Raw genomic sequence first — 24155 nt, forward strand, 5'->3', positions numbered from 1 at the left:
TGTAGACCATAATGCAATCACATTTTCAGCGTTGTTAAAATGCAAAAAAAAAAAAAAAAAAAAAAAAAGCTATTGTGTTGTCCACGCTAGATGGTAATTCGCTTACCTCTTCTAGTAGTTTCAAGGGCGAATACTAGTTGATTAGACCTTGAAGCCTTTTATACGGTCATTGATAACATAAAACAAATTAAAATAGAATATGGAAGAATCCCCCTAGGGAATTCTTAAGATTACAAGCTAGTTTTCCAAGAAGAAATTGGCTTGTGTTTAGTAGAAGCAATAGATTAGAGACAGACTGATAGACTTGGACAGCCAGACAGTCCAAATGGGACCACTCATTATATCATAACCAGACAGGTAGTGTTGAAAGCGGGCTCAATCTACAGAGCATCCTCATTTCATTTCATTTTATTTTGAGGCAGAGTCTCACTCTGTCACCCAGACTGGAATGCAGTGGTGCAGTCATGGCTCACTGCAGCCTCAACCTCCTGGGCTCAAGCGATCCTCCCACCACAGCCTCCCAAGTAGCTGGCCCTCATTTTTAAAAACAGACAAAAAAGGCATCTGTCAACCCACATAGATGGACTACTATTCAAATGTAGAGCATTTACTCATCTTAAATCTGTGGCTGGTTGCAGTGGCTCACACCTGTAATCCCAGCACATAGGGAGGCTGTGGCAGGAAGATCGCCCAGGAGTTCAAGACCAACCTGAGCAACAAAGTGAGACACCAACTCTATAGAACATAAAAAAATCAGCCAGGCATGGTAGTACACTCCTGCAGTCCCAGCTACTCAGGAGGCTGAGGTGGGAGGATTGCTTTGGCCCATGAAGTCGAGGCTGCAGTGAGTGGTGATTATACCACTGCACTTCTAGGGCAACACTTTCTCAAAAAGTGAGACCCTGGCCAGGCGCGGTGGCTCACGCCTGTAATCCCAGCACTTTGGGAGACCGAGGTGGGCGGATCACGAGGTCGGGAGATTGAGACCATCCTGGCTAACATGGTGAAACCCCGTCTCTACTAAAAATACAGAAAAATTAGCCGGGCATGGTGGCGGGCATCTGTAGTCCCAGCTACTGGGGAGGCTGAGGCAGGAGAATGGCGTGAACCGGGAGGCAGAGCTTGCAGTGAGCCGAATCGTGCCACTGCACTCCAGCCTGGGCGACAGAGTAAGACTCCATCTCAAAAAAAAAAAAAAAAAAAAAAGTGAGACCCTTTCTCAAAAAAAAGAGAAAAAAGGAAAAGAAAAGAAAAAGAAATGGATTTAGATTCAGGATCAGAATCCTGGGTTTACCATTATTAGCTGTGCAACCTTGGGTTACTTAACCTTGGGTTCCTCATTACCTTACCTATAAATTGGGTATAATATTGGCACTCACCTCACAGGGGTGCTGTAAGAATTAAATGGATTAATGTTTGTAAAGTTCTTAGCATAGGCCTGGCTCATAGTAAACCTTTCATAAATGTTCACTATTATAATTATCCCTGGTTCTTAGACTTTTTTTTTTCTTTTTTCTTGAGACAGGCTCTTGCTATGTTGCCCAGGCTGGTCTTAAATGCCTGGGCTCAAGCAATACTCCTGCCTCTCGGCCTCCCAATGTGCTGGGATTACAGGTTTGAGCCACCTCACCTAGCTGGTTCTTAGACTTTCAAACTTCCAAAATCAGTGTTTAAAAGAAGAATTAGGAGATCAATATGGGTTTGTCTTCTTTGCTTTTTTGTTTTTTTTAGCTTTTCCCAAATCAAAACAGTTTTTAAAAGCCAGTATTTTCTATAATAACCAATATTTCATAGAAAAAAATAATATTTTAATAACACAAAATTTAGGCAGAAGATAATGTCAAAATAAATGACTTCTATTATTACATTTAGCTTTGAGAGAAACTTAAAATTTTTTGTTTTAGAGACGGGGTCTCATTCTGTCATCCAGGGTGGAGTGCAGTGGTACAATCCTAGCTCACTGCAGCCTTGAACTCCAGGGCTCAAGCGATCCCCTAGCGTCAGCCTCCCACGTCGCAGGGACTAGAGGCCGTGCCACTACACGTGGTAATGAGAGACATTTTTTATGTTATACATATTTTTCTCAGTTCTCCTTGGAATAGTAAGCATATTTTTTGTTCACTGTATTTGAGGACGACTTAGTCATATTTTCCAACACCCTTACATGTATAGTTTTTACTAATTAGTAGTTAAATGTTTTTAACTTTTAAAAAACTAATCATAGACTATAGACAGTAGTGTTTGTAAACTGTGAATGAAAGACCAGGATCATAAGGTCAGTTACTGGCTTTGCACATTGCAAATAGACAAAAAAAGAAATATTTTTCTGTAAGACACTGGAAAAAAATAAAAGTGGAGTTAAAACCTATTCTTTGGACAAGAAACTTGGCATTCCTACTTTTACTGTGATAGAGGAGTCCCTAAAAACAGTTGAAGTGAAGATGAAATTCCCAAGCACCCATGTGCCAACTCATTTGTGGAAGAGCAAAGAATCTAATTAACTCGAAGCAAGACCTGAAAGGGGACAGAATGCTCAGGAAAACCACATGAACTGTCCAAACTATTGATTGAGCAATTTGCAATCATTTCTAGTTTAAAAACAAATAGTTTGGGTAAATGAATGAATATTCCTATTGCATTATTGCTATTGCATTACTTCTTGCAAAGTTTTCCAAGGAATTTCCTAGTTGTCAGGCATATATATATACACATGCCCAGCCTTTTTTTTTTGTTGGGGGAGGGGGTTCCTAGCCACTAGACCATCAGGGAGGAATCTTAAGAATTATTATTTTAGAAGACTAGCAGTCACTTTTCTTTCTTTTACTAGTTATACATCTAGCAAGGCCATATTAGTTACAAGCACACATAAAGTTATATACCAGGATCTTGGAATATTCATTTTACCAAAAAAAGTCAGTAAAGTCAGTTGTGCTGCTACAGTTTTCGTATTTTCCACAGATTCCAATGAGCCAACACAAGTTCTACTAATAAAATCCACACAAAATAAAATGCAGTCAGTGGAAACACTATATGTACATTGTAGTCATTTATACTAAGACTGTTGAATACAATACTCCAGAGTAAAATGATCTCAATAACAGCTATGAGGCTTCTTTTTTTTTTTAAGAGATGGAGTTTCCCTACGTTTCCTAAGTTGGACTTGAACTCCTGGACTCAAGAGATCTGCCTGACATGGCCTCCCAAAATGCTGGGATTACAGGCATGAGCCATTGTGCTGGGCCTGTGAGGCTATTTTTAAAGTCTGAATCTTAATGTCTAGGTTGGATGATATTAAATCCCCATTTACTCATTCATTAGCTCTTCTGAGAGAGATTTTTCTCTCTTAGAACCAGTTTTCTTTTTTCTTTTTTTGAGACGGAGTCTCACTCTGTCGCCCAGGCTGGAGTGCAGTGGCGCGATCTTGGCTCACTGCAACCTCTACCTCCTGGGTTCAAGCAATTCTCTGCCTCAGCCTCATGAGTAGCTGAGATTACTGGCACCCACCACCATGCCTGGCTAATTTTTGTATTTTTAGTAAAGACAGGGTTTCATCATATTGGCCAGGCTGGTCTCAAACTCCTGACCTCAAGTGATCTGCCTGCCTCGGCCTCCCAAAGTGCTGGGATTACAGGTGTAAACCACCGTGCCCGGACTGATTCTATATATTCCTGATTGTGTTGTTGATAACAACAATAATAGCAGCTACTACATATTGGGTATTTCCTATGTTTCAGGCAATTATTTCAGTGCTTTATGTTAATTTTTTACAATAACCCTACAAAATAGACAGTGTTTGCAAATCTCCACTTTACAAATGAGCAAACAGAAACTGAAAGGTTAAATAACTAGCTAAAGGCCACACAGTAAGTAGTGAAGCTGGGTTTCAGACCCTGAACTGTCTATAACTCCTGAACCTGAATTCTACCCTACGGCCTACATGCTTATGGAATCTCTAAATGGCTCTATGGACATTCGAAAGAAGAACTCATCAAAGTGCTCTCTCCTTTTTACTAACTTCTATTATAATAAACATATTACTAACATTTACTAGAACAATTATAAATTTTTAAATCTTAAGAGTTTTAGGTCTCAAAGGGACCTTTGAGGTATTTAATCAATGCCCACAATTCTACAAATAAGGAACTGAGCTATCTCAAGTTCAACTGAGCTACAACTAAAACACCAACGATTCTCTTAAAAATGTTAGACAATGGCTGGGTGCGGTGGCTCATGCTTGTAATCCCAGCACTTTGGGAGGCCGAGGCAGGCGGATCATGAGGTCAGGAGATCGAGACTATCCTGGCTAACACGGTGAAACCCCATCTCTACTAAAAATACAAAAAATTAGCCAGGCGTGGTGGCGGGTGCCTGTAGTCCCAGCTAGTTGGGAGGCTGAGGCAGGAGAATGGGGTGAACCCGGGAGGCAGAGCTTGCAGTGAGCCGAGATGGTGCCACTGCACTCCAGCCTGGGCGACAGAGATTCCATCTTAAAAAAAAAAAAAAAAAGTTACACAATATAGACCTCATTGTATGTATACATGTTGTTGATGATAACTACAGTTTGAAATTAAATGACCATGTACTAGGAAGATGGTATCAGCCTAGCCAAGGATTTGACACAAAAGACTGGAATGTTTTCAAACCTTACTTAGTAACTTTGTTGCTGGACTACAAGGCCAAAAGCAAGTGGCTGCTTGGACACTGGCTATTCAGCTCTCCTTTAATCTTTCTTAAAATATCAAAGATATGTTTATTTTAAAGATGTCTTCAGTGGATGCATTTTTATTTAAAAACCTGGTCATCCAAAACTGAATTTACTTTTCCCCTAAAGCAAAAGCAAAACCTTTCTAGAAGTAATTGAAAATAAAAGCATTGCCTAAAAAACAAACACTATTCAAAAATCAAGATTATACAATAAGGCCATTGGCTAAAAATAACAGAGACAGAAAGTTCAGCTTGTGGTTTTTTACATTGTTTATTTTTTATCCTCCTATCCTTAATAGGATCAGTTTTTTTCCATGAACAGTTTATTGATCATTTGGTAAGTTTGTTTTTTTTAAATAAAAGACCATTTTTTCCACTGTAAAATGAGAAAATAAAATTTTCCTCAGAAGAAAAAATGTACAACTTCATTAATAACCTGAGTGATAACAGATTAAAATGAGATACCATGTTATAAACAATGAAATTGACTGAGATCAAAGACTCCCCCCACCCCACCCCAATTCGCAATGTTGGTCATGGTGTGAGAAAACAAGCTTATATGGTGTTTTGATAATATTAAGAAATAAACTAAGGCAGTCTTTCTAGAGGTCATTTAGCAAAATCCCTTAAAAAGTGCATTTTTGGCTGGGTGCAGTGGCTCACACCTGTAATCCCAGCACTTTGGGAGGCTGAGGTGGATAGATCACCTGAGGTCAGGAGTTCGAGACCAGCCTGGCCAACAAGGTGAAACCCTGTCTCTACTGAAAATACAAAAATTAGCCTTAGCCAGGTGTGGTGGCACGTGCCTCTAATCTCAGCTACTCCGGAGGCCGAGGCAGGAGAATCGCTTGAACCCAGGAAATGGAGGTTGCAATGAGCCGAGATCACTGCACTCCAGCCTGGGTGACAGAGTGAAATTCCATCTCAAAGGAAAAAAAAAAGTGCATTTTTTGGACATAGCAATTTCACTTCTACGAATGTAAACTACAAAAACAATTAAGCTTTATGTGCAAAGGCTTACCTATAATGATATTAATAACAGGGTTATTTGTAATAAGATGGAAGGAAGGAAGGTTAGAGGGGGAGGGAGAGAATAAAGGAAATCAGAATTTCCATCAATAGGAATTGGTTAAATAAACAAATGTGGTACAGTGCATGCATCAAAAGCAGTATTATTTTTCCATTGAAAGTGATGCTGTGGATAAATATTATTGAAATGGGAACTGTTCACATAGGTTACTAGATTTAAAAAACAGATTACAAAACTCTATGTAACTGTATGTTTCTATTTATATGAAGGTCAAGATCAGGCAAAGCCAATCTGCAGTGATAGAAATCTAAACAATGGTGCAGGGAAACTGGGTAGAGCAGAGGCTGATTTGGAAAGAAGTAAAGGAACTTTCTGGAGTGATGGAAATGCTCTAAGATGATATTCTTGCCATATGGCTTGTGGGGGGGTGGGAAGCACAGAGTAGGTGGACATTTGTCAGAATTCATCAAAATGGTCAGTTAGCATCTATATATTTCATTTCATGTGAGTGATACCTCAATTTTAATAAGAAACAAAATCCTCAAATGTACAACATGATCTTAAGTTTATAATAAAAACAACGGTTTCTATTTGTACAGACAGAAAAGGATTTGGAGACTGTCTTAGTCCATTCTGTGCTACTATAACAGAATATCACAGACTGGGTAATTTACAATAAACAGAAATGTATTGGCTCACAGTTCTGCCAGTATCTGGCAAAGACCTTTTTGCTGCATCATAACACAGCAAAAGGCATCACATGGCAGAAAAGTGATAGAGAACGGGTGTGGGGAGAGAGAGGGAGAATGAGCAAGACAGCAAGAGGAGACCAAACTCATCCTTTTATAAGGGACCCACTCATGCAATAATGTAATAATGGCTTTAATCTGTTTGTGATGGATCCACCCCCATGACTAAATTCCTCCATTAGGCCCCATCACCATCAAGTTTCTAACCCGTGGACTTTGGGGAACACATTTAAACTATAGCAGAAAGGATTTAGAGGTAGTGGGATTATGGGCATTTTTAAACTCTTTTTTTTCCCCACTTGTCTCAACAAATGTTGTAATAATTTAATCATAACAATTAAACACAAAATGCAAATGTATCCAAATGTGTTTCAGTGAGCCTCTCTTGCTCTTAATCTGAATATTTCCTAACACCGCATTAAAGGGTACTGTGAAGATTACCCAGTGCATCACCGACTTGCTTGAAATTCCTTGGAAGGATACCAATGGCGTCCCACCCCTTGTGGAGGTCTTTCACCATAGGCACTTCCGGCCATTTGTTTTACTCTTTCAAACAGCTCAAAATGCCAAAATTAAATCAAGAATTTTATCATTTGGAGGCATGCTTGAAGTAGATTTTATTTCTGGTGCCCAAACCCCTCTCAGGTCCAGAGTAAAAAGCTTCAAATTCCTGAAGGTAATGCAAATACTTTATGGGCTGAGAAGTAGCTGTTTCTTTGCATGTGTCCTGCCAAGCTTCTAAGAATGGTTTTGCCATTAGTTCCAAACCCACAAGCAGCCTGGTCTGAGCTCCACCACCTCCAGCAGGCTTATTACAGATAAGTCAGCTGGTCTTCATGTGACAGAGAAGCCTTCTGTGCCAGGTGTGCTCACAGCCAAGACTGGGTGTCTGCCACCTCATGCTGATGGCAGCTCATGTTCACATGCAGCCCACAGATCTCAGCACAGGCTGCTGGGTGGTTAACGATGCAGGCACAATTACCTCCTGACAATAATAGTGCAAACAACTATGGGCAGTTGGTTGAAGGATGGGAGAGAGGAGGAATAGTAAAAAGCAGATGAAACGTCATTACACTTCTCTAAACTCCTGCAGGATGCAGCCCAGCATCGTGGCTCACATCTGTTATACCAGCACTTTGGGGGGCCAAGGTGGGCGGATCACTTGAGGTCAGAAGTTTGAGACCAGCCTGGGCAACATGGCAAAACCCCATCTCTACTAAAAATACAAAAATTAGCCAGTCATGGTGGCGTGGGCCTGTAATCCCAGCTACTCGGGAGGCTGAGGTGGAAGAATAGTTTGAACCCGGGAGGCAGAGGTTGCAGTGAGCCAAGATCGTGCCACTGCACTCCAGCCTAGGTGACAGAGCGAGACTTCATCTCAAAATAATAATAATAATAATAATAATAATAATAATAATAATAATAAACTCCTGCAGGATGGATACAAATTGAGAACTGAAGTAGGTGGGAATAAGTGAGAACTGAAATCTAGTTTTCCCTTGGGATATAGCCAAAGAAACTAATGGATGAACAGTGCCAAAAGAAACTCACCTCCAACAACCTGGCCTGGATCTGGTGCAGAGAGGAAGACATATGTCCACGGATCTGTATCTCTAGTCTACTGGATAGCTAGACAAAAACGTCCCACAGGGCCATCACAATTACCTGGTCTAACATCCCTGAACTGAACTCAACATCCCTTCCTTGCCTCCAACCTGCTATGTCTTTTGCAAAGACGTATAACAACCAGTGTATAACACAGGCTGCTGGGTGTATAATAACCAGTGACCCCTTTACAAGAGCGAGAACTTAGAAGCCCTTTAGACCTCCTCCTTCTTCATCTTCCACATATGATTAGTTCCAGTTCCTAGTTAGGACACTATCATCCTAATATCTTTCTGACTAGCCCTTCCTTCTTGTTGTGCTGCCAACTGTCACAAAATCTAATTTCCACCTCACTGCCTGAATGATCTGTCTACACTGCAAATCTGATCATGCCTCTGGCCTATGCCAGTCTTTCCACAGTTCTCCATTATCTACCTAGCATATTCTTGAGAAGATCTCAAATGCCTTCACTACCAGGCACTCAAATGTGTGAAGCCATGGGGTTTAATATGGCCAAGAAGGAAGTTGTATGGACCTGGAGAAGATCTGTCCTACCTGAAGTTATTCAAATCAAAAATTATTTTAAAACAGCTGCACTGGCCTGGGAAAACTTTCTGAGGTCACTTTGATACTCTTGGTCTACAATAGAGTCAAATTCCTTAGCCTGTGATGTAGCTGAAGCCTGCTTCTCTAGCTTGTCTTCACCTATTTTCAATTAAGCAGCCTGCATTTTCCTGAAGGTTCTCTTTCACACAGTGATGCCTTTGAACATGATCTTTTCTGCTTGGGTCCGTCTCCTTCTTTCCCCATCTTGCCTAGAAACTTATGTCAAGACCTCATCTGCCAGCCTTTGTGGAGCCCCGGGAAGAGTTATACCCTGGACATGCATCTGTTATTGTTGTTCTTTCCAAGCTTGCAAATATTTATTTTCCTTCTCTGCAAGTAGTACTTAGGGGGCCTGTCTTATAATGGCACAAATTGTATGTTACAAAATAAACGGCAAAGGCTAGAGACAGTTTTCCTCCCCAACATTTTAAATAAGATTGAGAAATTATTGTTTACATCACAAAATGTCATTTAAAAAAAATTCAGAGTGTCCTTTAGGAGCTAATAGAGATTTTATGAGGACCTCCAAATGTGCCCTGTGTCCCTAGCTAGCCTTCATCAATAAACCTGTATTGAATGTGATAGTACAACAATCCTAGGCCAGAAAAACTGCTTCAGGCCTTGATCAGGTTCCCAAAATATTAGAGGTGATATTAATCATTATCATAAAATTTTAGTTGTTCAGAAAAAAAAAAGAAAAAAGAAATGGTCACATGCTCCAGTGCATTTTTAAAAATCACTTAAAGAAATAAAAGAGAACTCAACTCCACTCCCACAACTGGGTCACAAGCTCCATTGGCTAAGGTAGTTGAGTTCCCAGCCACATGAAATAGTTCTATTTCTCAGAACTTGTCCAAAAGACCTCTCCTGCCTGCAGAGATAGAAGTAAGGAAAAGAGAATCTTTCCTACGCCTTTAAGTTTGACCTGCCTCATTTTTTTTTCCCCTCCCTTTCTGTCCATTGATTTAGGCCATCAAGGAACTGTAGAAGTAGAATAGGAAGTGGGAAAGGGAAGAGATAGTGAAGGATGAAGGGGTGGGCCAATCGTGGGGGGCTTTCAAGGGATCTATGTCTATAGTGGCTGAGGTTAAATGAAGTTAACCACAAAGCTAGAGTCACCTCACCACTTCCTACTTTGTAGACTAATAGGCTGAGCTCTGGTTTAACTTAAACTTGAGTGGTCTGGAGTGAACTCATTCGTTCTACACCAGTTCCTCACAGAATATTATATATTTTTTATCATTATTATTGAGATTTTACGTGTTTTTATTCTTTCCTTTTTTTTTTTTTTTTTTCTGAGACAGGGTCTTGCTCAGGTGCCGGGACTAGAGTGTAGTGGCGTGATCATGGCACACTGTAGCCCTGACCTCCCAGGGTCAAGCAGTCCTCCAGCCTCAGCCTCCCAAGCAGTTGGGACTATAAGTGCACACCACAACACCCAGCTAATTTTTTTTTTTTGAAGAGATGGGGTTTTGCCATGTTACCCAGGCTGGTTTCGAACTCCTGAGTTCAAATAATCTGCCTGCCTTGGCCTCCCAAAGTGCTGGGATTACTGGCGCAAGCCACCACGCCTGACTGTTTTTATTCTTATTAACCAATCTGAAAGCAATTTACTTAATGTCTGGCTGAACACACACACACACAGACGATATTCTAATACAAATGAACATGCACATGACATGATTTTGAGAAATACAGGAAAGCATAAGGAAAAAAATCTATAGTTAACCCAAAAATAAAAATTATTAACTATTTTGTCAATTCTGCTATTAAGATCTTTATATAGTTGGGACTGTATTGTATTCACAACTTTTTTTTTTTTTTTTTTTTTTGAGACAGAATCTCACTCACTCTGTCACTCAGGCTGGAGTGCAGTGGCACAACCAGGCTCACTGCCTCCTGGGTTCAAGGGATCCTCCCACGTCAGCCTCCAGAGTAGCTGGGACTACAGGCATATGCCACCATGCCCACATAATTTTTGTATGTTTTTTTAGAGATGGGTTTTGGGTTTGGCCACGTTGCTCCAGGTGATACAACCTTTAATACTTAGAAATCTAACTTTGTAACAAGCTCTTGCCTTGCTTTTAGAAACTATGTAAGCATTGTTATTTATAGCTACATAGAACTCCTTGAAGTGTATATATTGTAATTTATATAACCATTTTTCTTTTTTCTTTTCTTTTTTTTTTTTTTTTTGAGACAGAGTCTTGCTCTGTCGCCCAGGCTGGAGTGCAGTGGCATGATCTTGGCTCACTGCAAGGTCCGCCTCCTGGGTTCATGCCATTCTCCTGCCTCAGCCTCCTGAGTAGCTGGGACCACAGGCGCCCGCCACCATGCCCGGCTAATTTTTTATATTTTTAGTAGAGACGGGGTTTCACCATGTTAGCCAGGATGGTCTCAATCTCCTGACCTTGTGATCCGCCTGCCTCGGCCTCCCAAAGTGCTGGGATTACAGGCGTAAGCCACCATGCCCGGCCTACTTATATGACCATTTTTCTACTACTAGGCATTTAGTTTTTAACTAAACATATTTTGGAATAATAATATGGATTTCGACCTTTTAAAAGCTCTCACTACCAGCAATGAGAAAATAAGACCTCTTTAAAGAAGGTATAGGCAGCAGTAGTTTAAAAGTATTTTAGTCATTGGTTTCCTTCAGCCAAGAAAAACAGGTACAATATCACTGAATTATGGACAAAAGCAGGAAATACCCTGAAATTTTCCCAAGAATAATATATTTCTTAAACACATGCTGATGTGAAGGTTGGACTTGTTCTAGGAAGGCTTTAGGAAAGAAAGGAGTCTTGAATAGGAGAATAAATATACAAGAGGTGGTATAAAGACATGATGTTGGGGGTAAGAGAAAAAACATGGCAAATGTCGTGAGGTGAAGAACTCAGGCTCTTAACGTGGTGCCTGGCAGAGTTCCTCTGCCATCATTGCCTTTGATGGTGACTGGATTCTGGTAAGCTTACCACAAATCCTTAAATTCTAGGCAGAACACTTGCTTAAACAAAGAATTTAAACAACCATTTGCTAACGGTAATCTCCTGCCTACTCTAAGTGTCTTTTCACCAAATCGTTCCTCTTTTTCTATGCTATTTAGACTTTGCCAGCATTAGAGTGGGCAGCCAGATGTTATTTCACAGAATTCACACGGCTGGAATCGCTGCTGTGAGAATTCTTTTAAAGGGATGTAGAACTTATAGTCTTCCTAAAGCCCCATGTCCCTGAACTTTTGTAGCAATCTGGGGAAGATAGAATGCTGCATTATTATATTACATTTGATTTTCATTTAAATCAATTCTTTTCTTAGAAAGTTATCTAAAAATTTTGATTCATTCTACGTTTTGCCCAATATGTTTCCCATTATTTATCACAGTGTGTCTTCACAACACCCTGAGAGATGGGTAGGCCAGATGTTGCTACTTCCATTTTCTTCAAAGAGAAGAAAACCGATGAAGAGACTGAAGGCATTGCCACCAGAACCCAGGTGTCTCATCTTTTTGGCCCAGGGTGTGTTCCTCTGACACATTAAACTGTCACCGTGGCTTTGACAGATGGCATTGGCAGAGAGTCCGTAGAGACATGGGTTGTGTCTCTGCTATTGGATATCTCAGGGAAGTTTTATACTTCAGTTTTTCAAACCTGCCATAAACCCTGAGTATTTCTTTAAGCACATATCAAAGTAGTCTATCTTAAAGTACCTCCAAGTTTTTACCAGATTTGGATTTTTTAATTTTTAATTTATTTCATTTTATCTGACACAGAGTCTCACTCTGTCACCCAGGCTGGAGTGCAGTGGCACCATCTCGGCTCACTGCAAACTTCGCCTCCTGGGTTCAAGCAATTCTTCTGCCTCAGCCTCCCAAGTAGCTGGGACTACAGGCGCGTGCCTCCACACCCACGTAATTTTTGTATTTTTTTTTAGTAGATACGGGGTTTCGCCACGTCGGCCAGGCTGGTCTCAAAATCCTGACCTCAGGTGATCCACCCGCCTCAGCCTCCCAAAGTGCTGGGATTAGAGGCGTCACCCACTGCGCTTGGCCTTTTTTTTTTTTTTTGAGACAGAATCTTGCTCTGTCACCCAGTGGCATGATGTTGGCTCACTGCAGCCTCCTGGGTTCAAGAAATTCTCCTGCCTCAGTGCCCCAAATAGCTGGGACTACAGGCATGCGCCACCACGCCCGACTAATTTTTTGTATTTTTAGTAGAGACGGTGTTTCACCGTGTTAGCCAGGATGGTCTCAATCTCCTGACCTCGTGATCCACCCTCCTCGGCCTCCCAAAGTGCTGGGATTACAGACGTGAGCCACCGCACCCAACCAGAACAATGCTTCTTTAAAAATGACTAAAAATACAAAGGGCTGGATGTGGTGGCTCATACCTGTAATCCCAGCACTTTGGGAGGCCAAGACAGGAGGACTGCTTGAGCCCAGGAGTTTGATACCAGCCTGGGCAACATGACAAAACCCTGTTTCTACAAAAAATACAAAAATTAGCCAGGCATGATGGTGTGGGTCTGTAATCCCAGTTACTTGGGAGGCTTAGGTGGGAGGATGGATAGAGCCCACGAGGTTGAGACTGCAGTGAGCTGTGATCACACTACTGTACTCCAGCCTGGGCAACAGAGTGAGACCCTATCTCAAAAAATATAAATAAATGAATAAATAAATAAAAATTTAAAAAAATTATATAGATAATTTTTTCAAGCTGAGCCTTATATAAAATGCATTTCTGTATGTAGGTCTCCCTTTGTAAATAATATGACTTTTCTATAAACCTATAATATAAAAGACTCTTGGAGAACATACAACAGAAAAAGGACATGTCCACTCTATATCATACTTGAAAGTATTATTGATTTTCTTTTTAAGATAGAAAGGAAAAGTCATATTAAAAGCTACTTTTGGCTGGGCACTGTGGCTCACGCCTATAATCCCAACACTTTGGGAGGCCGAGGCGGGCGGATCATGAGGTCAAGAGATTGAGACCATCCTGGCCAATATGGTGAAACGTCATCTCTACTAAAAACACAAAAATTAGCTGGGCGTGGTGGCGCACACCTGCTACTCGGGAGGCTGAGGCGGGAGAATCGCTTGAACCCAGGAGACAGAGGTTGCAGTGAGCCAAGATTGCGCCATTGCACTCCAGCCTGGTGACAAAGCGAGACCCGGTTTCAAAAAAAAAAAAAAAAGCTACTTTCACTTGGGATGTGTGTGTGCACACATGTGTTATTGTTGTCGAAGAGCAGTTTCCAAGAACCCTCAACTAGCCTATGAACGTGGCTGCAAGTTGACACTTGACAATACTCAGTTCAAGACTATACCTGATACTGCCGCACTCCCTTATATTATTTCCTGTTTTCCCAAAAGATAGCAAGTGTCTTGAGGTTAATAACTGTCTTTATTTCTGTTATGTCCCTCATAGTGTTTCCCATCATATCTGTGTTGAAATGAACATTCATGTGATGTTCCAGGAGACCCAGTCCCACTAACTTATCCAGTCTTTGAAATAAATTGCTCTTATTCTCTGAACTGTAAAATTGAATGTTAATATTACTATTTTTTGGAATATCTTGACTCTACAATAATCTACATTTGTATGATATGGTTGCAAGCATTACTATCATGTGAAAAAGAATAGTTTTTTTGTGCTTATTCCCTAAAAATTTTGAAGCTTTGGATATAATTTTATCAATATAGTAAGTCTGTGTGCGCGCGCTCTCTCTCTCTCTCTCTGGCTCACTCCCACCTTCTCTTGCCTTCCCTCACCCTCCCTCCCTTTCCTTACCTCTCTCCCTCACCTCTCCCTCTCTCCTACCTCTCTTCCTTTCTCCCTCTCTCCTTCACCTCTCCCTCTCTCCTACCTCTCTTCCTTTCTCCCTCTCTCCTTCTCTCCCTGTCTTTCCCTCTCCCTCTCCTTCCTCTCTCCCTCTCTTCTTCTGTCCCCTTCTCCTTCTCCTTCTGCCATAAAATGAAAAATAAAAAAAGTAGTGAATAAGAGTAAGTAAATAATAGAAAAGCAAGAGCCCATCACCCCCTGAATCTCTTGTAGATTGTTTTTAAGGTATGAGGAAACCTCTTAGGTTTCTAGGTTTCTCTTAATTTCTCCCATTAGAATTCAACTGACCAGCATTAACATTAAAACAGAGATCTTGAGACTGACAAAACAGACTCTTCTAGTAGAAGATACCAAATCTCAACCTGACTGTATATACTGACTGTAGTATAGCATCACATGACAAATAGCAAGGCCTTAAAGAAATCCAAGTATTTTACCCCAAAATACATTTCTTTGACATATTTTGGAATGGCCCTGCAAAGCTGTCTCTTGTGGGGAAAATCTACATTCTGTAGAAAATCTCCTTTCCTTTCCAAATCTTTTCTTCATCCAGGAGAGATTATCTGTCCCCCTAAAATGTATAAAATCAAGCTGCAACCAACCACCTTGGGTACCTGTTCTCAGGACCTCTTGAGGCTGTCTTAAGCCTTAGTCACTCATATTTGGCTCAGAATAAACCTCTTCAAATATGTTACAGTGTTTGAATCTTTTCATTGACAATTTCAAAAGGTTCATGATCTTTCAGAGGCCCCTTATTTATTTATTTATTTATTTATTTATTTATTTATTTAATTTTTACTGAAAAAGCATCTGGCCATGTTGCCCAGGCTGGTCTCAAACTTCTGGGTTCAAGTGATCCTCCCCCATCAGCTTCCCAAAGTGCTGGCATTACAGGTGTGAGCCACTGTGCCCAGACTAAAACTATTTTTTAACATCATTTATTAATGAATTTATTTTTGAGACAGGGTCACACTCTGTCACCCAGGCTGGAGTGCAGTGGCACAATTACAGCTCACTGCAGCCTCGACTTCCCAGGCTCAAGAGATCCTCCTGCCTCAGCCTCCCAATTAGCTGAGACTATAGGCACATGACACCATGTCAAGCTAATTTTTTGTATTTTTTTGTAGAGATGGGGTTTCACCATGTTGTCCCACCTGGTCTTGAATTCCTGGGCTCAAACAATACACTCCACCTGCCTGGCCTCCCAAGTGTTGGAGTTACAGGGGTGAGCCACTGTGCCCAGCCCTCAGAGACCCCTTTTGAGGGATTTCTGCTGGTAGTAACCTACAGCATTTTTTATTTTTATTTTATTTTATTTTATTTTTTGAGACCAAGTCTTGCTCTGTCACCCAGGCTGGGGTGCAGTGGTATGATCTTGGATCTTGGCTTACTGCAACCTCCACTTCTCGAGTTCAAGCAATTCTCATTCCTCAGCCTCCCGAGCAGCTGGGACTACAGTTGTCTGCCACCACACCTGACTAATTTTTGTATTTTTAGTAGAGAAGGTGTTTCACCATGTTGGTCAGACTGGTCTCGAATTCCTGACCTCAAGTGATCCGCCCACCTCGGCTTCCCAAAGTGCTGGAATTACAGGCGTGAGCCACTGTGCCTGGTGATAGTATTTTTTAAAACTACAAAAAAACAATGTACATATGTTTCAGAAAATCCTCAAATTGTGTTTTTCTTCTGCTCTGACACAACAGTCATAAATACAGAAGACTTCTGTGACCAAATATTGGGGCTTCTCCTCACCACCAATTCTGCAGTAGATACCAGCTGGGTGTCCTCGAATTCAATTCTGGGGTTATCTACCCAGAGATACTGTGAGATCCCACAGTTGAGGGCTCAGCCCCTAAGGCTGGACCCCATCCCCCACCAGTCACAAGGTCAGGCCTCTGGAACTTCTGACTGACCAGCTTCAAGTTGGGGTTTCCATGACCCTCTCTTTGGGTTCGATTAATTTGCTGGGGGCAGATCACAGAATTCAGGGAAACACTTACGTTTACTGGTTTATTATGAAGGATATTAGAAAGGATACAGACAAAGAGATGCCGGGAGCAGTGCCCAGGGAAGGAGCACAGAGCTTCCGCGCCCTCTCTGGGTACACCACCCTCTAAGAACCTCCCTGTGTTCAGCTATCTGGAAGCTCTCTGAACCCAGTGTGTTTACGGAATCTTCATAGTGTTAGCATTCCTTCCCCCAGGGTATGGGGCGGAACCCTCTCTGGAATGAGGGTCTTAGGAATCACAATCGGAAAGGTGGAGAAAGATTACAGTCCTACCTTGGAGCAGGTGAAAGGAGGGAGAAGTTCAAAGAGTTTCTGTTTCCTGAGGTTGGCCAGGCCCAACATAGCAACAAAATGACTGTAACATAATCTAGGATTTTTTTTTATACCTGCCAGTGAAGATGTTCCTTTCAGTTTTGGGGGGTTTTTGTTGTTGTTGTTCTTGTTGTTGTTGTTTGTTTGTTTTTTTGAGACGGAGTCTCCCTCTGTCACCCAGGCTGGAGTGCAGTGGCACGATCTCGGCTCACTGCAACCTCCACCTCCTGGGTTCAGGCAATTCTCCTGCCTCAGCCTCCCGAGTAGCTGGGATTACAGGCGCCCGCCACCAGGCCCAGCTAATTTTTGTATTTTTAGTAGAGATGGGTTTCACCGTGTTGGCCAGGTTGATCTGGAACTCCTGACCTCAGGTGATCCACCCGCCTCTGCCTCCCAGAGTGCTGGGATTACAGGCGTGAACCACTGCGCGTGGCTGTCCTTTCAGCTTTTAGATAGAAGGGAGAAAGAGGTCAACTCAGATATCCAGAACCAAACTAATGAAGTTATATTGTTCTTTTCTATTTCTGATCAAATACGTTTCTAAACAGCCATTCCAGGCTCTAATATAACAAGTATAACACAACTTGTATTCTAGCAGTGTGGGGATTCATGTCCATGTCTACAAAACATTCTTCCTCTCCCCAATTTTCCTAATGGCTTACAACTTAATATTTTAAACACTTATAGAAAATTTCAAAAAATGCAAAAAAATAAAAAATAAAAATAATGCAACCATATCTCAACTATGACAATAATCAACTAATGGCCAATCTAGCTTCCTTCACACTCCTACTCATTTTCCTTGCCCCCAACAACCTAGATTTTTCTCCATCATAGTACTGCAGCTGCAAATATTTTTGTACATATGCTTAAAAGATAAGGACTCCTTTTTTGAACATCATCACACTGCCCCAAAAGCAACAATAGATGCTTAATATCATCACATATTCAGTGTTCACATTCCCTAATTGTCCTTATAAATGTCCTCTTAAAAATCTTTGCTTGCCTATTGGGAAAAATTAGTCATATTAAAAAATTGTTTGAAAGTTTGTTGTTTGGGGCTGGGTGTGGTGGCTCACACCTGTAATCCCAGCACTTTGGGAGGCTGAGGCAGGAGAATCACTTGAACCTGGGAGGCAGAGGTTGCGGTGAGCCGAGATCATGCCATTGCACTCCAGCCTGGGTAACACAGTGAGACTCTGTCTCAAAAAAAAAAAGGTGTGTTTGAATCTGCATCAAAACAAGGTCCCAGGTGGGCATAGTGGCTCACACCTGTAATCCCAGAACTTTGGGAGGCTGAGGCAGGAGGACCACTAGAGCCCAGGAGTTTGAGACCAGCTTGGGCAACATGGCGAAACCCCATCTCTACCAAAAATACAAAAATTAGCCAGGCATGCTGGTGCATGCCTGTAGTCCCAGCTACCTGGAGGCTGAGATGGAAGGATCGCTTGAGCCTGGGAGGCAAAGGTTGCAGTGAGGCATGATCAAGACTATTGCTCCATCCAGCCTGGGCAACAGAGTGAGACCCTGTCTCAAAAACAAACACACAAGGGCAGGGTGTAGTGGCTCACGCTTGTAATCTCAACACTTTGGGAGGCCGAGGTGGGTGGATCACCTGAGGTCAGGAGTTCGAGACCAGCCTGGCCAACATGGTGAAACCCCCATCTCTACTAAAAAAAATAAAAAATAAATTAGCCAGGCATGGTGGTGGGCACCTGTAATCCCAGCTACTCAGGAGGCTGAGGCAGGAGAATCGCTTGAACCCAGGAGCTGGAGGTTGCAGAGAGCTGAGATCGCACCATTGCACTCCAGCCTGGGCAACAAGAGTGAAACTCCGTCTCAGACAAACAAACAAACAAACAAACCTCCAAAAAACCAATGTCAATTTATTGTGATAATTAACATGTCTCTTATGGGCAACATTGTCCTTTTTTAGCCTTTGCCCTCAAATAAAAAAATTGTTATGTAGCAAAAACAACCATTTCCAGATGATGCAAGAGTTCAAAATGCTGGCCTGAAGAAGTCTATGAAAATGTCAAGTCATGCCTTTGCGAGGAGATAACTACTTGGCATATACCTTTCCCTGAATGATAAAGAAGGAAAGAAAAAATGTACTTCCAGTAAACATATTCATTAGCCACAGAGAGCTGCATATAAACATGATGCTTGGAAAACAAATGCTCTGCAGTAAATGGGAATTGAGAAAATAGGTAATAAGTTGCAAATCTGAAAATCATTTCTTTATTTCAATGTAAGGTAAGTTTATAAACAGTCAGACCAAAAGGTCTGCTTTTAAAGTTTTGCAAATGCTGGTCAGATTGATTAGTCCTTTTTTGAATTTTTTTTTTTTTTTTTGAGACGGAGTCTCGCTCTGTCGCCCAGGCTGGAGTGCAGTTTTTTAATCCTAAAGCTTTTTAATTTAAGGCTTTTTAATTTTCAGTTTGCTTACTCCATTCTTTTGTAAAAGAAAAAAATCACTTTAGATTAAATGAAATTGTAATTAAGGCTTCTACTTCCATTTCTCACCTTACGAGCTTATCTTCTGGATCCCCCACTTAAAAAACAAAGTTCCCTTTTCATTTAAAAATTAAAGAAACTCCTGGGTTAGTACTTAACACAAACAAACTAATAATTACCATGTAATAGAAGCAACAGGACAAGCTCACAGTAATATTACAATGCAGGAGGTAAAAACTTGGGCAACATAGAAAGAAGGCTCCGTTTCTTAGTCTGTAAATGGGGACAATAAATAGCTGCCTCATAAGGCTGATGCTGGGATCAGTCAAATGAGATCATGCAAAGCACCCAGCACTGGCTAACACTCAATAAAAAAATAGCCATTATGATCATTAGGAAGATATAGGAAGAGACTTTTGTCATTGTCACAGTTTAATCTTGAAAAGGAACTTACTGTATGGTAGCATTCTGAGTCAGTTACAAGAGAAAGTAACAAGTGACCTGCATTGCTGAGGATCCTGCCTCCTCCAAGCTACCCTGCTACATTGTTAAAACACCCTGGGGGAGAAAAGTATCCTATTCAGCCAATGTTAAACTGTTTCCTTTTCTGAAAGTTAGAAATAGATGAAAATAGCATAAGAAATAACTCTGTATATAGTAAGTTCTGGGTAAGACAATATTGTGGTAAGTGAACTAAACAAAGATTAATCTGAAATTGGACTCTGATCCCCAAGTGAACCAGCCAGTGTAGCCCAGTCCTTACTGGACCTGAGGAGGAAAAACAAGCCTGTGTCTATCTCAAGCGTGATCTGGCTAGATATGATCTAAACTTTGAAAAGTGCCTAAGCATGTTTCAGATGCATATTATGTGTTAAATACTAAGCAGGGAGCTCTGAGCTGGGGCAGTGCACCCTGATGCTGAGGAACTGACATAGGAAAATGAACACCTAGCATTGTAATTTGGCCTTTTGCTATTTATTTATTTATTTATTTATTTATTTTGAGACGGAGTCTCTCTCTGTGGCCCAGGTTAGAGTGCAGTGGTGCAATCTCGGCTCACTGCAACCTCCGGCTCCTGGTTCGAGCGATTCTCCTGCTTCAGCCTCCTCAGTACCTGGGATTCCAGGCACACGCCCCCACGCCCAGCTGATTTTTGTATTTTTAGTAGAGATGGGGTTTCACCATGTTGGCCAGGCTGGTCTCGAACTCCTGACCTGAGGTGATCCACCTGCCTCGGCCTCCCAAATTGCTGAGATTACAGGCATGAGCCACCACGCCCAGCCTATTCTCTCATTTTAGTCAGACAAGTTTTCTTTTCTGTTAGATCTCTCCCCAATAATTGCAAAAACCAACCAAATAAATAAGTATGGGAGAGAGGTGGTTATTTATATTATGAAAGCATTCTTCAGTTTAATTCATTGCAGAATCTAAGATCCTTTCCTCCACAGTGTTAAAATCCATAGCCCTCTCAATTACTCTTCCACGCTTTGAGGAAAAGGAAGACAGGGAGGAGAGATCTCCAATGGAAATTTCCTTGTTAATAACATCTTATGTTTCTCTAAATGTTTTACAGTTTCAAAGCACTTTCAGACTCACTCTGGTATGTTAGTTAAGCCTTGTGCAAGATACCATAAATCATATTATACTCAATTAAGAGGTGAGAAAAGACAAGGCTCAGAGGTGAAGCAAATATAAATAGTAGTAATTAGTTTTATATATATATATAACTAATATATATAACATTCATATATATATATATATATATATAGAGAGAGAGAGAGAGAGAGAGAGAGAGAGAGAGAGAGAGAGGGCGCAATTGGTACATGTGAGACCTGAAGCCAAGATTTTTAAACTAAGTCCAGTGGCCAAGAAGCTGAAGCAAGTAGCTCACACTCACTGCCTTGGTGTTGCTGTTTTTCCTCCCTTCCGTGATTTGGTTCTAAGCATCTTCCCTTTTTTTTCTCAGTTAATTCTGATTCATGACTTCCCTCATGTAATTAATAAATGGGAAAGACTTGAGTGAACAAATATTCAGCCAACTAGTATTTATTGAGCAACAACTAGAAACCAGAACTTTGAAGGGTTTTAAACAAAGGAAATGGAATCTCTTTGTCATTTAAAAGGCCACAATAAAACAAATAAAAGTAAAAAATAAAAAAGACCATAGTGAGGAGGGTGCAGTGGCTCACGCCTGTAATCCCAGCACGTTGGGAGGCTGAGGTGGGCAGATCGCCTGAGCTCAGGAGTTCGAGACCAGCCTGGGCAACATGGTGAAACTCCACCTCTACTAAAAAAATCCACAAATTAACCAGGCATGGTGGCATGCAACTGTGGTGGTTACAGGTACTCAGGAGGCTGAGGCCGGAGAATCCCTTGAGCCTGGGAAATGGAGGCTGCAGTGAGCTGAAACAGCACCATTGCACTCTAGCCTGTGCAACCAAGCCAGGATTAATAACTTTATTGATGTGAACCAATTATCCAAAAATAATAATCACATATTAGCCATAGCGGACTCCCCAGCTAGATGTTTTCTGCCTGTGTTTGTAAATCCTGGACATAGTTAAATTTCAAGTGCCTTCAATAAGAAATCAATGGCTTGGAAAACATCTCTGCGCAGTCTTGATAAGATTTCTAATTGTGGTGAAGCCTCATTCCTTAAATTATTTATTCAACACTAACCCATTCTACAAACTTACATCTGCTGGGCTCTGGGAGTAACAAGATGAGTTAGATGCAGCAGTCCCAAATCTAAAGGAGGTTGGAGACTAGAAAGACCAGTGCCTGCTCTGAGCTCTCCAGTGGTCCCCAGCCTCTCAGTCAGGCCTCACAGGCCCCTCTGCCAGAGGCGGAACCAGCTTGCCTCCGCTCTGCAGCCACACTGGCCTTTTCTTTCATTTCTGAGAACTCTCCTCACTCCCTCCCACTTTGGGCTCTGCAGAAATCCCAGTTCCCTTTGCCTTGAAAGCTCTTGGTCAATTTAGCTCCTCCTCCTTCAGCCCTCAGCTCCTGCCTTGCTGCCCCAATAATCTTTTTCTGACTGCAGATCTGGTCAAATCTTTGTCTGAAACCTTAGAGCCCATTACATTTGTAGTTTTACGTGTACACGTGTGATCATTTAATATTTGACGGTGTGCTCTCAGGTGCCTACGCTCCTGGAGAGGCAGGGGCTGACTGGTTTTGTTAGATGCCAGTGCCTGACACACAATAGGCCCTCAAGGGGTGAAAAACCAACCAACCAAGTCAGGACCCAAGCAACCTGGGCCTCTGTGGAAGGGCAGAATGGCCTGAGTTTGGGTTTCTCGAGCTACCTTAAGATCAGGCCTCCTGGCTCCTATCTTAGCCCTTCTAACACTCTGAAGTGTAGAGGTTGTTTGTTCCAAGTCCCCAAGGTACTGTAAGCTCCCAGATAGCAGAAATCCCATTATATTTTAGTGCTGTGGCCCCAGCATCCAGCTGCGCTGTTACTTAGCATGAGATCCACATGAAAACCATTTCGCAACTATTAGCCATTGCCAGTATTAATACTTTCCGGAAGGTGGCACAAAGTGGGGGATGTTATAGACAGCTTCAAAGAAACGTTTAAGCTAGAGTTGACTCTTTAAATAATACAAGCCATCCCCAACCAAAGATTAAAAATTTAAATACAAAAAAAAAAAAAGGAAATTTGCCTACCCCCCATTTGTGAAAACAAAGAAAAAAAAAACAGTTAACGTCTTAACTTTTCTAGGCCTTCACTCTCGCCTCTCCCCGCGCTACAAGGGCGAATTCTGGACGTATCTACACAGTCACCGCGGAGTCTGCAATCGCCGCGACGTCCCCTGGCATTTCTTGGCCAGGCTGCAACTTTGGTGACGGTGTATGTAGTTACATCCCCTGTAGTGCAGCTGGTATTTAGGGTCCTCATTGGCAAAGTTGAGGGTATAAGCAGGGAGGGAGGGGACCTTGGCTTCTTTCCATTCACTGGCATGTTTTCGGGGCACGGTCATCCCACGCTGGGCTCCAGCGCCAGTCCCAAGGCCTCGCCGAACTCCAGCCCGGGAGTGCGCGCGGCCCCGCCCACCGGGCGGCCGAGGTCCCGCCCCTACCTCCCCCGCCACACCTACCCACCCACCCCATTGCAATGGTCTCTGCACGCAGGCGCAGTGGCGCGCGGGGGAGGCGGGGCGCATGTGGGCTTCATTTAAACAGAGCAGAGGGGGCGGCGCGCGGTCGCCGCGGTGCTGCTGCTCAGTGGGAGCGGGTCTTCGCAACTGTCTCCGCGTGGCGCGCGCCTCTAGCCGCCCTTCCCCTGGCGGCTACGGCCGGAGGGAGCGGAGGCGAGCGGGAGTCGGGCTCCATGGAGAGCGGCGGACAACTGGGCAGAGGCGGAGCTTTCATCTCGGCACCCTGGTTCCAGTGACCCGCGCTAGCGTCCCGTCCCGCCCGCGTCGGAGCGGCCGCCGGCCCCGGGACTGACCGGCCTCGCCGCACCTCCCGCACCGACTAGCGCTCCCGGGCGCTCCTGCGCCCGACTCGCCCTCGCCCCCACTCCCCGGCGGGGTGGCGGCGGCCGGGCCCCCACGGCGGCGGCCGGAGCAGCAGCAGCAGCAGCAGGAGCCCGCCTCTATGATGAAGTTCAAGCCCAACCAGACGCGGACCTACGACCGCGAGGGCTTCAAGAAGCGGGCGGCGTGCCTGTGCTTCCGGAGCGAGCAGGAGGACGAGGTAGGGCGCCCGGCGCCGCACGCTGCCCTCCGGGGCGCCGGGGTCTAGGGCCCGGGTGCTTCCCCTCGCTCCCCGCCCCTGCGCAGGCTGCGGGGCTGGGAGGGATTAGCCCCCTTCCTCCCTCCCTCCTTTCCTC

At 42.8% G+C, this 24155-nt stretch overlaps 1 protein-coding gene and 1 long non-coding RNA gene across 3 annotated transcripts in view, besides 6 other annotated features; one reads left to right on the top strand and one right to left on the bottom strand.

The window, feature by feature from the left end:
- LOC643339 (uncharacterized) overlaps window positions 1-23334 on the bottom strand; it is a 373979-nt gene extending 350645 nt beyond the window's left edge. Inside the window, exon 1 of the long non-coding RNA NR_040096.1 lies at window positions 23035-23334. This is a non-coding gene — a long non-coding RNA (uncharacterized LOC643339). The remainder of the gene's footprint in view (window positions 1-23034) is intronic.
- Window positions 9858-9927: a silencer, noted in NCBI's record as "silent region_4704". NCBI's record gives its function as "represses an Ori minimal core promoter by ATAC-STARR-seq in GM12878 lymphoblastoid cells {active_cell/tissue: GM12878}" and the evidence as "EXISTENCE:reporter gene assay evidence [ECO:0000049][PMID:35858748]".
- Window positions 15893-16856: an enhancer, noted in NCBI's record as "NANOG-H3K27ac-H3K4me1 hESC enhancer chr12:93764071-93765034 (GRCh37/hg19 assembly coordinates)". NCBI's record gives its function as "activates a minimal SCP1, AML or CMV promoter by ChIP-STARR-seq in naive H9 embryonic stem cells {active_cell/tissue: H9 hESC(naive)}" and the evidence as "EXISTENCE:reporter gene assay evidence [ECO:0000049][PMID:30033119]".
- Window positions 23119-24058: an enhancer, noted in NCBI's record as "H3K27ac hESC enhancer chr12:93771297-93772236 (GRCh37/hg19 assembly coordinates)". NCBI's record gives its function as "activates a minimal SCP1, AML or CMV promoter by ChIP-STARR-seq in primed H9 embryonic stem cells {active_cell/tissue: H9 hESC(primed)}" and the evidence as "EXISTENCE:reporter gene assay evidence [ECO:0000049][PMID:30033119]".
- Window positions 23119-24154: a biological region, named in NCBI's record as "H3K27ac hESC enhancer GRCh37_chr12:93771297-93772236".
- Window positions 23295-23634: a silencer, noted in NCBI's record as "silent region_4705". NCBI's record gives its function as "represses an Ori minimal core promoter by ATAC-STARR-seq in GM12878 lymphoblastoid cells {active_cell/tissue: GM12878}" and the evidence as "EXISTENCE:reporter gene assay evidence [ECO:0000049][PMID:35858748]".
- NUDT4 (nudix hydrolase 4) overlaps window positions 23523-24155 on the top strand; it is a 30222-nt gene continuing 29589 nt past the window's right edge. For both annotated transcript variants that reach the window (NM_199040.4, NM_019094.6), the window contains exon 1: window positions 23523-24019. In NM_199040.4, coding sequence (NP_950241.1) covers window positions 23921-24019 — 99 coding nt within the window. In that variant the 5' untranslated portion in view covers window positions 23523-23920. The remainder of the gene's footprint in view (window positions 24020-24155) is intronic.
- Window positions 23855-24154: a silencer, noted in NCBI's record as "silent region_4706". NCBI's record gives its function as "represses an Ori minimal core promoter by ATAC-STARR-seq in GM12878 lymphoblastoid cells {active_cell/tissue: GM12878}" and the evidence as "EXISTENCE:reporter gene assay evidence [ECO:0000049][PMID:35858748]".

This window comes from Homo sapiens, chromosome 12 (genome assembly GCF_000001405.40).
Source record: "Homo sapiens chromosome 12, GRCh38.p14 Primary Assembly".
Taxonomy (NCBI): Eukaryota; Metazoa; Chordata; class Mammalia; order Primates; family Hominidae; genus Homo; species Homo sapiens.